General features: G+C 42.8%; 1 protein-coding gene across 9 annotated transcripts in view, besides 3 other annotated features; it reads right to left on the minus strand.

Moving 5' to 3' along the window:
* Window positions 1–15,445, minus strand: part of RELL1 (RELT like 1) — a 100,073-nt gene that overhangs the window by 47,176 nt on the left and 37,452 nt on the right. For 8 of the 9 annotated variants that reach the window (XR_007057961.1, XR_007057960.1, XR_007057958.1 and 5 more), the window contains exons 3-5: window positions 13,889–13,960; window positions 4,968–5,025; window positions 1,408–1,644 (exon numbers count right to left, since the gene is read on the minus strand). Coding sequence is in view for 3 of the 9 variants with exons in the window: in NM_001085399.2 (NP_001078868.1) it covers window positions 1,408–1,644; window positions 4,968–5,025; window positions 13,889–13,960 (367 nt within the window). In the remaining 6 variants the exon portion in view is untranslated. The other variant, XM_017008590.3, reaches the window with a different exon arrangement.
* Window positions 1,576–2,076: an enhancer, noted in NCBI's record as "H3K4me1 hESC enhancer chr4:37636677-37637177 (GRCh37/hg19 assembly coordinates)". NCBI's record gives its function as "activates a minimal SCP1, AML or CMV promoter by ChIP-STARR-seq in primed H9 embryonic stem cells {active_cell/tissue: H9 hESC(primed)}" and the evidence as "EXISTENCE:reporter gene assay evidence [ECO:0000049][PMID:30033119]".
* Window positions 14,794–14,938: an enhancer, noted in NCBI's record as "145 bp enhancer 255 fragment used in the MPRA reporter construct; PK_construct_1689". NCBI's record gives its function as "activates an SV40 promoter by MPRA in HepG2 cells {active_cell/tissue: HepG2}" and the evidence as "EXISTENCE:reporter gene assay evidence [ECO:0000049][PMID:23512712]".
* Window positions 14,860–14,873: a transcriptional cis regulatory region, noted in NCBI's record as "HNF4 motif; enhancer activity is reduced when this motif is scrambled". NCBI's record gives its function as "necessary for full MPRA enhancer 255 activity {active_cell/tissue: HepG2}" and the evidence as "EXISTENCE:site-directed mutagenesis evidence [ECO:0005528][PMID:23512712]".

Consider the following 15,445-nt stretch of genomic DNA (forward strand, 5'->3'; position numbering starts at 1 on the left):
ATTTTTTTTTAAGGCCAACAAAACATGCTTTGTCCAAACAAGCTACAGGTTCTCACTGCTTTGCATTCATAAATTCCCATGACTCTGCTTCTTAATAAAACAGTGTGGTCATGAATTGTGCTGTTTTGCTGTAAGTGGCAAACAGCCCTGCAAGTCTTCTCCATGATGCTTGTGCAACACATGATGAAACTCAACTGAATTAAAATAAAAATAATACCAGCCAACATTTCTTGAGTGCGTAAGTACCCAAAGCTGGTTTAAGACCTTTATGTGAGTCACCTCACCTAGTCTACACACAGCAACTCTATGAGGTGAGTGTGACTGTCCTTCTCACTTTACAGAGGGGGAAACTGAGGCATGGAGCAACGTAACAGTTTGTAAGTAGTGGTGCCAGGACTTGAAGGAGGTAGAAGTGACGAGTTCAGGTTACTCTTCCCAGGGGGGTTGTCAGTATACTGAGAGAGAAGGATCATGTAAGCAGCACTGTTGACTTTCGCTCAGTGCTCACCCGGTCTCACTCCAGCATGTGTGTTCCTTACCAGTACTCCCCACTGTCTTTCCAAATGCAACATCGGCAATGCAGTTCCTGCATGGGACTCAGCATCTAACAGCAGAACTGCAAAAGCATCCCACTGCAAAGATGCTTCAGGTAAGGGCCAATGGATTCATCACTTGAACTGCAAGATCTCCACCTCACATATGGGTCACAAGTGAAAGGTACTAGGACCAAGAAAGCCAAGACACAGTGGAAAGCACCACCCACTAAAAGAAAGCAGTCAAAGCAATTCACATGGAACTTAACAGACAGACACTGGAGGGCTGTGGACCAGATCCACGTCTTCTCCCTTCCCTTGCACATGGCTTGATGCTATTTCTCAGTTCCCTGAAAGTTAGCTTGGCTGGGTGATCAAGTTCCAGCCAGTGGAGTGTGAGTCAAAATGATACGAGCCACTCTCAGGCCTAGCTCTTTCAAAACCCCTCGTGAACAACCTTCCACAGACCTGCTCCTTTGGCTGGCAAACCTGGCAGAGCCACAAACGAAGGGGGCCTGGAACCCTGGACAAGTACTTGAAGAGCCACCCATTGATATCTCAATACCTGCCCTGGATTCCATAAGTGAAATATAAATGTCTATTCTGTATACAGTTGAAAATCTGGGCTTTATCTGTTAGAGCAGGTAGGTATTTATCTTAATACATTTACCATCTGATCTAGCAACAGCCACCTTTTAGGATTCTTCTGTTGTTGGAAAAATCTAGGACTCACACCAGAAAACATCTAAAAAGCCCAGAGATATAACCTGAGACAGGCACAGAGAACATATTCTACATCTGACAGGTAAGCAGAAGTCCACACACCAGAGCACCCATGTCACACACAAACCAAAAGCATCTGAAGGGATCTTACCTGCCAACAGAAAGGACCGTGACCTCGCCTTGGCGCCGTGGTCTGCTCTCTCTGGACTTGTTAGTGGGCTTTATAAAGTGCCACCGCTTGTGCCTACACCGATGACACACATCCCTCTCGACAACACCGCCCACCGTATGCAGATGATGGCCACAGACGTGCTTCCCTGGCGTCCCCCCTGGTGACAAAGGCCCAGGACTCACTGGCGGGCTCCCTGGTGTGCTGGGGGTCACGGGGCTAATGTGGGGAGGAAAACAAAAAGAGCAACTGGTTAAAGGAAATATCAGCGAAGGTGATCTCTCTCCCTGTGATGACAGAAGCAGTTTAAATTGAAAGAAAAAAAAAAGCGTCTTCCAATTGTACAAATGGACTTTGTGAACAGACCTCAGACAGCAGGTACTCAGTTCTCATGACCATGCGATGACAGTTTATCTTAAGCAATAATAATATGATTCACGGTCAGGCACAACAGCTCATGCCTATAATCCCAGCATTTTGAGAGGCCAAAGTGGGAGGATTGCTTGTGGCCAGGAGTTTGAGACCAGCCTGAGCAACATAGAGAGACCTCGTCTCTGAAAAAAAATGAAAAAATTAGTCAGGCATGATGGTGCGTGCCTGTAGTCCCAGCTACTTGGGAGGCAGTGGTGGGAGGATCACTTGAGCCCAGGAGTTCAAGGTTGCAGTAGCTATGATTGTACCACCGAACTCCAGCCTGGATGACAGAGTGAGACCTGTCTCTAGAAGAAAAAAAAATGTGATTTATCACTTCTAGAATGGAATTTATTAGCTGGGAATAAACCACTGCTTCTAATAGTGATACACTGGCTTTAAAGTATTATGTTTCTTTCTAAAACACTGATCTCCTTTCTCATGCAATTATCCTAATTTCTCACATACCAGAGTGTCTGCCTATCACTCTAAGCAAAGAGATTCTCTAAGTATATATGCCCTGGAAAAGGGAAGAACCCAAATTCCATCAAATTATCAGATAACTTAGAGAAAACATTTGATCAAATCTCCATTATATCAAAGGAGGAAAGCCTTTAGGCAAAGATATCAAAAGTGATGTTCAAAACAGATGTTGATGGTGTTGATAACAGTCATAATTAAATAGCTAACAGTATTCTAAGCATCTTATATGTATATGTTAATGGAATTAATCCTTATAAAATCTTATGATGTAGGTATTATTAATTTCTTCCTTTTAACAATGAGGATATTGAGGCAGGGAGAAGTGAGGTAACTTGCCCAAGATCACACTGCAAATAAGTGCTGGATCTGAGATCCAAACCTAGAAAGTTTAATTCCAGAAACCATGCAATTAATCACCTTGCTATACAGTATAGTGCTTCAGAAACAGCAGAGACCACTTTGATAATCTGGAATATATTTGGCTAGACCATCCAAAATATAAAAAGCAGAAATATGGCCAGGCGTGGTGGCTCACACTTGTAATCCCAGCACTTTGGGAAGCCGAAGCGGGCAGATCACGAGGTCAGGAGATCGAGACCATCCTGGCTAACACAATGAAACCCCATCTCTACTAAAAATACAAAAAATTAGCCGGGGGTGGTGGCGGGCGCCTGTAGTCCCAGCTAATCGGGAGGCTGAGGCAGGAGAATGGTGTGAACCCGGAAGGCGGAGCTTGCAGTGAGCCTAGATCGCGCCACTGCACTCCAGCCTGGGTGACAAAGCAAGACTCTGTCTCAAAAAAAAAAAAAAAAAGCAGAAATACATAGTCGAGATAAGAGCTATTTTCAAAAAGCATGTGTGAAGGCTCTGGCCCAGCAGAAAAGGAGGAATTCTAACCTAACAGAGCCAAACTGAGCAGGAATCAGCCCTCTGGTGCAGGTGGGAGTACTGAGGGTGGCGTGGCACCCACAGCCTGACACCTGGACTGTGGCAAGAGCCCCAGAGACACACAGGAGGCTGTGATGGCAGAAACCAGCCTTTTCGGTGATGCAAACTGGCCACCTACACACTTAAAAAAGAAGTAGAGCCTACGGTTGAGGAGACCGCCTCAAACATGACTGAGCCAAAAGTCTTCTGGTGCTCTTTAGGGATGCCTTCCTACCTGTTAAAATAAAAACACAAAGCAGTACCTTCCTGGAGTAAAATAATGTTAAATTAGCACCACATATTAGAAAGCTGAATGCAAGAGTTTAACAACATTCATTCAACAAGCATTTCTCAAGTACCAGCTATGTACAAAACCCACTGACGGGCACTACAGGATGCCCAAAGATGACTGAGACAAAGACACCTTGAGCTAAGATGGTCAGAACACCAGCCGTCTGTGGCCAGGACTGGAATGTGGGAGAAATCAGAGCTCTTCTGTCTCTATGACTCTACGTCTCTCCTAAACTCAACTCCTTGCATTCTGAGTTACCTTTCTAAAACACACATCTAACGTAGCCAGTTTGACAAACACCTGTTAAACATCTAAGGTGTGCTGAGTGCACAACCCACATAGCAAGTGAAGAAAGATCCAGCCCCTTTGCCATGTCAGTTGGCCTGGCCACCCTGGACTGAACCCTTCACAGGTGAGTCCCAGGCTATCATGATGTGGTGACTTTTCTTCTGGCCCTTCTTCCTACAGCCAGCCCTGACTCTTGTCTCCACCTCCTGCACGCCTGGTTCAGATGGCACCTCTTCCATGAACCTTCCTGAATGCCCATTGGCCCCCCGGGGTCCCCCAGAGCCTTCAGTCTCCACCCATCCTACAGCATTCACAGGCTCTCCACCATGAGGCCTCACACACACATCTCCAATCCTGTGTTCCTCCATGGCAAGGGTCTGTGGATGTCCAGCTCCAGAGCAGCACCCAGCACACAGTAGGCATCCAATAAATGCTCCTTGTTGAAGAAATAATACTTTTATGGAAATACAGTTCTCTGTAATTAATTATGAAGGAATATGCTGCTCAACAACCATAACCTAAAATAGTAATACAAAAACAGAACATAGCAGGTAGCTCCAAACCAGCTTGTTCATTTAATCATCATTGTTCATGGAGGTCTTTCAATGCTTAAGGTACTCTGTATTCCTTATAACAACCCTATAAAGCTGGTACTGTGGTGATCTCCATTTTATAGATGATGGAACTCAGGGTGGTCAGTTAACTTCCTCAAGAACAGACAGTTAATATTGTGGTACAGGCAGGACTCAACCACATCTCCCAATTCCAAGGCTATGTTCTTGCCCTTAACCTCTATGCCTTCCTTCTTCCCATCACTATTCTCTAACACAGCAGTTCTCAACCAGGAGTGACTGTCCCCACTACGGGACATTGACAATGTGTGGAGACATTATGGGTTGTCACACCTTGGGAGGGTGGGGGCAGGGGATGCTCTGACACCTTGTGAGTGAAGGCCAGGGATGCTATCAAACATCCTCAATACACAGGACAGTTCCGCACAGCAAAGAACTACCTGGTCCCAAAATAACTATAGTGTTAAAGCTGGGAAACCTGCTCTAGCAGAAGAGCATTTCAGATGGCGCCATATCTGAGCAAGTAACTGAAAAGATGTCGCACTAAGAAAGAGGGGAGGAGCACTCACCTTTCAGGATCATACAGGCTGTTATCTGCTACCATCGCCTTTAAGACATCAGCATTCGCTAAGGAATAAAAATAAAATTAAAGAATTAAAATAGAATGAATAAGATGAGTAATCACATCAGAAAAGCTGTTGAAAACACATCTAATTCCATTCTTTCAGTTCATAGATGAAGTCCTGGGGGCCTAGAGAAAGGAGGGTCTCCCCCAACATAACTGCATAACATGGCACCATCTGTCAGTAACTTCCACCCCACAGGAACTTAGTAAGAATGACAAAGAATCTATGGCAAGGAGAGCAGATCTACTATAAGGCATTGCTTCTTACACATCAATAGCAATATAAAGTAGAAGAAACCACCCCCTCACCCCACACCAACTCCACCAAACTAAAGGACCATTTATATGCCGCTGCTCCCTTGCAGTTAACTAATTTTGATAAATATACTTTGAAAAATATGATAGTGAAATGTATTTCATAAGTGACCTATAGTCTAATAACTTGTATGTGCCAAAATAATTAGCCCTAAACTCTGAATCCTCCTGTAGCATCAATTCTATCCCATATCGATTCAGGGATGAGAGAAGGTTAATTTTCCAGATGAGCTTCAGGATCATATAAGCCCTTGACTGGCCAGATATCTTAAAATTTCAAGTATTGGCCAGGCGCTGTGGCTCACGCCTGTAATCCCAGCACTTTGGGAAGCCGAGGTGGACAGATCACAAGGTCAGGAGATCGAGACCATCCTGGCTAACACGGTGAAACCCCATCTGTACTAAAAATACAAAAAATTAGCTGGGCGTGGTGGCAGGCACCTGTAGTCCCAGCTACCTGGGAGGCTAAGGCAGAAAAATGGCATGAACCCAGGAGGCGAAGCTTACAGTGAGCAGACATCACGCCACTGCACTCCAGCCTGGGCGATGAAGCGAGACTCTGTCTCAAAAAAAAAAAAAAAAAAAAAAAAATTTCAAGTATTGATCACAACATATAAGTTATGTAATATACGCTAACTTTAAAAAATTAGACTTCTAAAAAATATCCAAATTTGTAGATGGGAAGCTAGGCTGTCAACAAAAGCAAAAAAAAAAACCTAATCTAAGATTCTTGAGTCCCCCAACCCACACCCACATCCACATCCACACGCCATGTGTTTTCTGCCTCCTTGTAGAGTGGTCACGCTCCCCAGGATGAAAGACTGAAGTGAATGTTCAAGTTTCCCTTGGCTATTTAATTGGCAAGGCCAAATGTTATTACTGGCTTGTAACCTTTTCAATTGATTTCTGAAGCACTGTTCTCATGACTAACCACAACAATTCTCTAGAGAGGAAAGAACAAATAAAAATCACTATTTACCATGTAAGCCAACACCAACATTTAATGTTTAACATTCAAATGACTTTTCTAGAGAAGGAATATTAATTCTAGTTCCAACTGCTGCTGTAAGTTTTAACAGTTAAGGGCTTACAATGTGGTGTTTCTCAACCTGGCTTTCATTATTGCCCCACCCAAGAGCCTTGTTCAACTATTTTACCCTAATGACTCTCCCATTAATGTACAATACGGCAGATATATTATATACTCAGTTATGTACTATACACATATCTGTGCTTTACATATAAGAGAGTGAGTTTTTTTTTGGCCCCGATCCAATTTTTATCTTCTTAGGGGACACATTGCCCCATTGCAACCCTTGAGAACATATGGGTTTTTGCTTTTTTCTTTGAAGAAATATTAATACAACACTTAATCTTTTGCCAAAAGAAATACTTTACCCTTCACAACTATCTGTGGATGTCCAAATGCATTTTCAAACACAAATTTTGATCTAAATAAGACCTCCTGTCATTACAAAAACATTATGAAAACGGATCCATAGTAATTTCTCCTGCACAATAAAGAAGACAGTTCCCTCTGTAAAACACATTTAAGTATAATCCAGTAATGTCAGTTAATTTCCCTTTTGGCTAATAAATGAGGATTCAGAAAAATAATGTCGTTTCAGATACTAGGTTTGGATATACAATCCCATATACAATTTTGTATTTTATTGTATACAAAATACAGTAGTCCTCAGTATCCATGCGGGGATGTTCCCCAGATCCGTGCAGACACCAAAATCCACAGATGCTCAGGTTCCTGATATGAAACACATCTCCCCCTCCCCCATACACTTTAAGTCATCTTTAGGTTACTTATAATACCTAATACAATGGAAATCCTATGTAAATAGTTGTTATGCTGTTTTATATGGGAAATAATGACAAGAAAAAAGTCTGCACATGTCCAGAAGGATGCAACCATCCATTTTTTTTTTCTAATTTTATTTTATCCTTGATTGGTTAAATCCATAGGTGCAGATCTGATGGATATGGATGGCTGATTATATAAAGTAATTTGCCACCCAAACTTACTCTGCCAACATTTACCATACTTCAAAACTATAAACATAAAAAAGAGGGAAAACAACACCAATAGGTATTAAAACAGGGACAGCACTATCAGCACATACAGGAGTGAGCTTTTTAAAATCAAACGTTTAAATCACTGCCTGAGAAAAATCAATCACCTGTAAAATGATGACCACCTATAAAATGAAAGGTCAAATTACAAAATAATTCCAGGAAGATAAGATATATTAAAATCATTATTAAAGCTTGCTTTTTGTAGATGTGTGTTTCTCGGTTATTCATGAATTCCTGTAACTCATCTTTATCTCTCAGGAATAATTAGTAAACATCCCCTTGGTTTGCTGAGTGAGTCTCTAGGACTCACCCTGTGGCATGTGGGACACACACACACACACCCACATGCATGCATGTACAGGTACATACCCACATGTACACACATGCGTCCCTGTCTCTGAGCTAATCTCCAGGGAGTCAACTTCAGTAATCTGTCTATTGGGAACATTTTTGGTTTCCAGTGACGAGAAGGTTTTCTAATATAACACCACCGTTAGGACTGAAACACATGCCTTAATTTGGTTGTGAAGTTACCATAAAAGAGCAATACTGTGAGTTCTGTTGAAGGTGTATCTCCTCCTTGCATATTACTCACAGCTACACTAAGCCTTAGGTGGTTTTCTCCACACTTGCCGGCATTTTGTCAACTACACTTCCTTTCCCCACCTTCCCCAAAATGGGAGGAGCTAGGCACAGGGCAAGGAAACTCCCTCAAGAAAAGGGAATATGTTCCAATGGGTGACATTTTCCAGAAAAGACCTCTTTTTCTCCCTGAATCCCTGCTTGATAATATGCATGAAACAGCCAAAATCAGGCAAGAAAAATGTCTTCTGTCTCTCCCATCACTATTCTCTTCAAAGTTTTCCTCACACCTAAGGCAAATTTCCCAAGCAAAAACTAACATTGCCATCACCAAAATGTAAGCGCCGGCACGTGCCAGTCACTGCCTGAAAGCTTTACCGATCTTACGTGTTGGACTTTTCTGATGACCTTAACAGTAGGTAGAATTATCACCCCCATTTTACAAGTATACAGACTAAGACCTAAAGATCGTAACTGACTGGCCGGAGTCACACAGCTAGAGAGTGACAGGCTTGGACACAAACCCTGGTCTGTCTGACTCCAGGGTGGGTGCTTTTAACCCTGACATCTTCCTTCCTACCCTTCAATGTCCAAGTCCCCGCCCAAAGGGACAGAGGTTGAATAATGGTTCATGGCATGTTGCATAATCAACAGAGAAAGTTTCAGAACCCACTCGGTACTCACAGTCATTTATAAAGGAATCTTTTCTGGCAAAATATAAACGAAGCCTGAAGGCAAAAACTTCACAAAGGCATCTCTTGCCTAGGGATCAGAAGTACTAATCACTAACCAGAAGCACTTGAGGACTATCTGTAGTACTCCCTGCAATTTTTACTAAGCAGCCAGTTCAAGGGCCTAGCAGAGGAACTCAGCTACAGACTCCCAGATACTTTCCAAACATCCATACAATGCAAGAAAACTCCAGCGACTACCCAGACACGATTCAGTTCGGCTCTATTTAGAAAGATGAATTAAAAGCTAGCACTGCCGTACATCCAACCCTTTGGATTAGGAAAATAGTCAGAGTGCAGGTGTGGCATAATATGCAACAGATTTGGTCATTGTCCTGGGTTCCTGTCACAGAGTTCCTAAAGGCCTTGGAATTTCCTGATAGGAGTGTCTTTTGTTATTCATAATGAGCACCTTTTGATCACACCTGGGTTTACACTAATGCGGTGACTTGGGGTGGAGCCCCTAAACAGTCTCAGGGTGGGGCCAGTCATCATTAAGACCAAGTGATTAGAGGGTTGGAACTTTCAGCCCTACCCAGGGACCTCAGGAAAGTCAGAGCAGGGGAGGACGGGGCAGGGTTCTGGGACTGGAAATTAAACTGGACAAAACAACTCTTGAACAACAAGATTTGATAGCTTCCAGGTGGCTGAACAGGTGCAGGTGCCGGGAGGGTGGCGCACCCAGAGAGGGCAGGAAAGCTCTGCGCCCCACCCCAATACTATGCATCTCTTCTATTTTGTTGTTCGTGAGTTGCATCCTCTATAACAAGCCAGTACATGTAATAAAGTGTTTCCCTGAGTCCTGTAACCCATTCTAGGATTGTGGATCCCTCCTCCCAGCCATTTAAGATTATAGGTCAGAAGTACCAGAGCCCTGGCTTCCAACTGGCATCCCAAGTAGGGGCAGTCTTTTGGGATCTGACGCTAACTCTAGGTAGACAGAGTCAGAACTGTATTAAATTGCAGGGTTCGGGGATTTGGAGAACTGCAAAGTATGGAAAAAACCCACATCTTTGTCAGAAGTGTTGTGTGAGGATGGAGACAACCAAACAAACAAAGTGTGTTTGCCCAGCAGGTCAGCTGATAATCCATCCTTCAAGAGATATTTATCTAAATTAAAATTGACTTCCAACATTAAAGACATAATGTGTTTAAACCATAAACAAGAATGTTACCATGAGTACAGTTCAAATATCACCCCATTTGCCAAACTTAAAATGCGAAGCAGAAACCATTCATATATCATGATTGCAAATGTTTACGGATGCATGAATCCAGGAAAAGAAAACCTAAACACACGTGGGAAAAGGGTAATAGAGAGATTGTGCTTAATTTTATTCCTTTTTTAACGTAAAGGAAAAGTCATGGTACACGTATCACTTTTAAAACTAGAAAGCAAAATTTATATTAATTCCAATTTATCAAAGACAGAAAATATCAACAGAGAAGTCCAAATTGGTACTAAGTTCAAGTTATGTTAATCATTGAGACAAAAATATTTTTAAAAATGCATTTAGTCCACAAAATAGAGGATTTCAGTCTCAAAGCCGAACTCAAACATGCTAGGTTATAAACTGGTAAGAGATCAAGGCTGCATCTTATCACCAGGCTGTGGTTTTGGTGCAGGCTGGAAGCTGAAGAGGCCACAGCTGGAAAGGGGTGTGCAGCAACATCAGGTATTACCTGAGGGCCCAGGAAGGGAACCAAGGGCTGCGCAAAGGATTGGAGTCACCAGCTGTCCTCACGGGCCCCTGGAGAAACCGCAGGTACACAGATGAAGGCATGGACAGGAGAAGAGGGGACCCGGGGTTGAGAATAAGATAGAAGGCAAAGAGAACTGGGGAGCAGAGGAGAGAGGAGAAAAATGGCACCTCCGGTATTGACTGCTCAGTGGTACCTACTGGTGCTAAGCACAGTAAAAACACAAAGGCTACTTTCCAAAAGGAAAACAACATCATTTAAAAAGAAAAAGAAAAAAAAACCAAAACAGCCCTATTCGCCCATGAGTGTGGGAAGTGAGGAAATTATATAATACGCCTCCTCCAAGGACCCCAAACACCCTCTCTGCTGTAATTAAGAGAAGTGCTTACTGCCAGCACCGTCCTGCCATACCTGCTTGTGTGACTTTGAACAAGTGTCTTATCCTCTGGGTCGCTGTTTCCTAATCTACAAAATAGGGTGGTAACAGGGCCTACGTCATCTGGTACTTTTATTTTTATTTTTATTTATTTATTTATTTATTTATTTATTTATTTATTTTTGAGACAGAGTCTCACTCTGTCGCCCAGGCTGGAGTGCAGTGACAGTGCAATCTTGGCTCACTGCAGCCTCTGCCTCCCGGGTTCAAGTGATTCTCCTGCCTCAGCCTCCCAAGTAGATTACAGACATGCACCACCACGCCCAGCTAATTTTTACATTTTTAGTAGAGACGGGGTTTCACCACGTTGGCCAGGCTGGTCTCGAACTCCTGACCTCAAGTGATCCTCCTACCTTAGCCTCCCAAAGTGCTGGGATTACAGGCATGAGCCAGCACGCCCGGCCGCTACTTTGAAGAATTTATTGAGTTAATGCTTAAGGATTTCTACAAACTACCCCAGCTATATACTGTCCCTCTTTGAAAGGAATAAGTTTTCCATCCCTCTTTCATGCCACCTGGACAGAGGTACTACAGTAAGTGGTTAAAATAACAGACTATGGAACCAGAACACCTGAGCTCCAATCCCAGCTCCGCCACTTTCCAGCGGTGCAACACTGGCAACTTAGTTAAGTACGGTGGGCTTCACTTTATAACATGGGAAGAAAATGTCGAGATCACAGCATCCCTGGAAAGCCCACAGAACAGGCCCAGCACATAGCAAACCCTCATGAGTGCTATGACGTCGATACGTGAGAACTTTAACCCCTGGCAAGGTTCTCACAGTTTACTTATTTCGACTGATTCAACTGCCAGTACCCATTTCATGCATCATCACAAATTTGGCAACTGCTCCAGCTTTTAGAAGCCCGGGTCCCAAAGGCCTGCAAGCTCCCCACAGCCACGAAAGGCAGTCTGGAATGTGAAAGGCACAGAGGCAGTGAGGCGGTCATCCATGCCTTACACTGCACACTTCCAGAATGGGTACATCTTCTAGGCCAAGGACATAGTCATGCATTGCTTGGGCAAATTCAAAAGCACTTTTTTTTCATATAAAAGAAACATCCATGATTGAGTACTCAAGAACAGTATCACCAACTACTGTGCCCTGAAGGAAGGTCTCTGGAAGACAGAGATCAAAATCCAAGTATTCTGGTCTTTTTTGTTATTTTAAACATCATCCGAGTAAGTTTGGTTGTCTGACTTTATAGACTGCAGAAATTGACAACTGCATATTAGAAGACAGGAGGGACAATATCGTGTGGTTGAAAAGGATGCTGAATTTGAAACCAGACAGACAGAGCTGGGCTGCTCACTAACCATGTGAATTTAATTACTTGGAACCTTCTTTCTTTATCTGTAAAATGGGTGTAACTGAACTAACTTTATAGGGATGTTTTGAAGATTAAATGAGATTACGTATATAAAGCACCCAGATCTATGCCAAAAGCATAAAGCACATTCTAAAAACAGCAATGAAAATTATGCTCAACCATACGAAACTGCTGTTTCTCTAAGTCAAAAACCGTTGAAGAGAGTCAAACTGACAAACAGGCTGGGCAGGCAGGTGCTCTTGTGGAGTAGTGAGGATCTGGGAGTGTGGGGTGCCCAGGGCAGGGCCTGAGGGCAGAGGAGCAGGTATTTACTGATGAGTGTGGTGTATTTCAACCTTTAGACAAATGGCTCAGCTCTATCAGGCTGAGCTCTATCAGTCCACGAGCCCATGCTGGCTAAAGCACAGACAAAGCCCAGGGGAAACATTTTCTTTTAAATTGTAATGAGAATTCACAGTGTGAGAATCCACAGCTATTGAGTAAGTGGGCAAGGAATCCCACACACCTCAAATATCACTGAGGGCATGGTGTGCTATGGAGGGAATAACCAGTGCTCAGAACAATAACCGTAAAGTTTCTTTACTCAAGATTAAATTAATCTTCCATTTAAGATGATAATTTAGAATACATTTCAGGGTGAAAAAATACTAAATTTCATAAAAGTTCAACTTTGTAAAAGTGTTAACACTGGAGAAAGGATGACATAGAGTAGACAAACAGAAGCACAGCAGCAGCTGCCAGTGGACGGGGGAGGAGGGAATGGGGAGTGGCTGCCTAAAGTGTCCAGAGCTTCAGCTTGGGAAGATGTAAAGTTCTGGAACTAGACAGTGGAAATGCATGTACAACACTGTGAATGTGCTTAATCCCACTGAAGGGTGCACTTTAAAATGGTAACAGTACTAAATTTTATGTGTATTTTACCACAATTTTTTTAAGCGCATGAAAAAGGAACAGACAATATTTGAGTACTTACCATACTGAGCACTCTATGTGTGCTATGTCCCAACAATGCTGTGAAGTAAATATTATTATTATTATTGTTTCTTATTATTTCTTTTTTTGACAGAGTCTCGCTCTGTTACCCATGCTGGAGTGCAGTGGTGTGATCACAGCTCACTGCAGCTTTGAAATCCTGAGCTCAAGTGATCCTCCCACGTCAGCCTCCCAAGTAGCTGGGAACATAGGAATGTGCCACCATGCCTGGCTATTTACTTTTTTTGAAGAGATGGGGTCTCACTATTTTGCCCAGGCTGGTCTTGAACTCCTGGCCTCAAGTAATCCTCCCACCTCAGCCTTCCAAAGTGCTGGGATTACAGATGTGAGCCACCGTGCCAGGCTGAGGTAAATATTATTATCCTCATTTTACAGGAAGAAACTCTACCTCATGAAACAAGGCAATATAGTTTCCCCAAATTGCACACAACCAGTAAGCAGTGAGGCCAGGATTTGAACACCAGCTGACAGCGCCTCCAGGGCTGGGTCTCTGCAACGCTTAGACCGACTCACGCTTAGAAAACTCACTCATGTGAAACTTGCGTAGCTGAATAATGCTGGAAGCTGAGGTGTTAGAAAGCTTAGGTGAAGTCAGTAAGAGAGTCTATATAAATCTTGACTCTTCGAAGCAGGTTTTTAATAAAGGATAGGAATACTGAATTGTTTTGGAACACTAAAATGTTCACACCTTCATTTTTCATGATGTAGTGGACGATTTGCCCAACAGTGTCACTGTTTTCATTCACACTGTCATTCAATTCTGAAAGAGAAAAGAGGAGGGGAGAACAGGTTACAATTGGTCACCAGCATCAAGTCAATCAATCTTAGAACCCAAGACCTCACTGAACAGTTTCCAGAAGCCTCAGGAGATCACCCATGGTGCTACAATTCTAGGCTTTCTCCCTCCAGCCCCAAACTTCCTAATGCATAACAAGCATAAAGAGAAAGTATCAAAGCTGTCCATCTATCTCTTCTGAAGTTCAAATACTCACTTTCCAAGACAATAATTTGAAAATGCATTTGTACCAGTCTTCATTATTATTTCTCTCTCATCATTTTCTTAAAGCCTTATGAGAAATGGGAAGAAAGCTCATTAAAAAAGAAAAAGATTCTCCTTGGATTTTATTTTAATTGCAGACTTACTATATCAATTTACAATATTAATTTCCTTTTTAAATTGGATCATAATTCTTCCATGTTCATCAGACTGCTGTATCCTCTGAAATACACTTTCAAATTACCTACATTCAGGGCTTGGTTATGTGTCCACAAACTCAGTTTACTTTGGGGACTCTGTACCAGGAGCATACATGACGGTCTTTGGGAAAAAAAGCAAACCACTCTGAAACCAATCTGCAAAATTTGTTTCAATAAGAACGAGGAAGGGTTGAAACGCTCCATCCTAGTTCACAGAGAATGCATCAAGGTGTGCAGTGTCCTACTCATTTACCTGGACAATGCCTTCTCCATCCAAAGGTCAGCTTTCCTCCACGTGAACATGCATGTTTGGTTAGACAGCTCAGAAGCTGGCTGCTAAGCCAACCTACAGAGCATCTGGGAAGGAGGAGAGGGGGAGGCTCCACTTTCTGTTGACAAACACTTGGCTTTGGTTTGCTCACAGGCTCATACATGACTCATCATGCAATCCTGTTCCTTCTCAGCCTCAAAGGTCAGTGGGGGTGGGAAAAACCAACAGTCCAGCAAGCTGGCAAGGAACGAGGAACCTCCCCTCAGCCAGCCCTGCTTTGCCTGAAGGGCGACCTACTCCAATGTCACCTTTCTGCAGAAACTGCCCTTAGCAGGGCTGAAAGGAATAGGGGGAGTCACCTACTACCTCTCAAGGCCCAAGTCAGGAAACATCCCTAAAGATGATGGGAAAGAAACATCAGTGGCGAAAACAGGATTTCGTCTCCCCGGTTTTTCTAAACACTACCTTATGACTCCACATTAGGAGAAACAGATGAGACAGCCTGAAGTTAGTACTAAGGCACCAGCTCTTGTCATACTTTTTTCTGCACTGTGCACACGATCGTTTACTTAATAAACATAAATTCCAATCACAAATATTTAAGATAGAACTCCCCCAGCAAAAGTAACACCACAAACATGGGGAGACCTATTTTAATTTTTCCTTCACTCTTATTCGAATCTGATTCCATAATAATAGTAAGGATTAATATTTAATGAGTAGTCATATATTCCAAATACCAAATGCATCTTTCCTCTAAATTTCACAGAAACCCCA

Source organism: Homo sapiens, chromosome 4 (assembly GCF_000001405.40).
Source record: "Homo sapiens chromosome 4, GRCh38.p14 Primary Assembly".
NCBI lineage: Eukaryota > Metazoa > Chordata > Mammalia > Primates > Hominidae > Homo > Homo sapiens.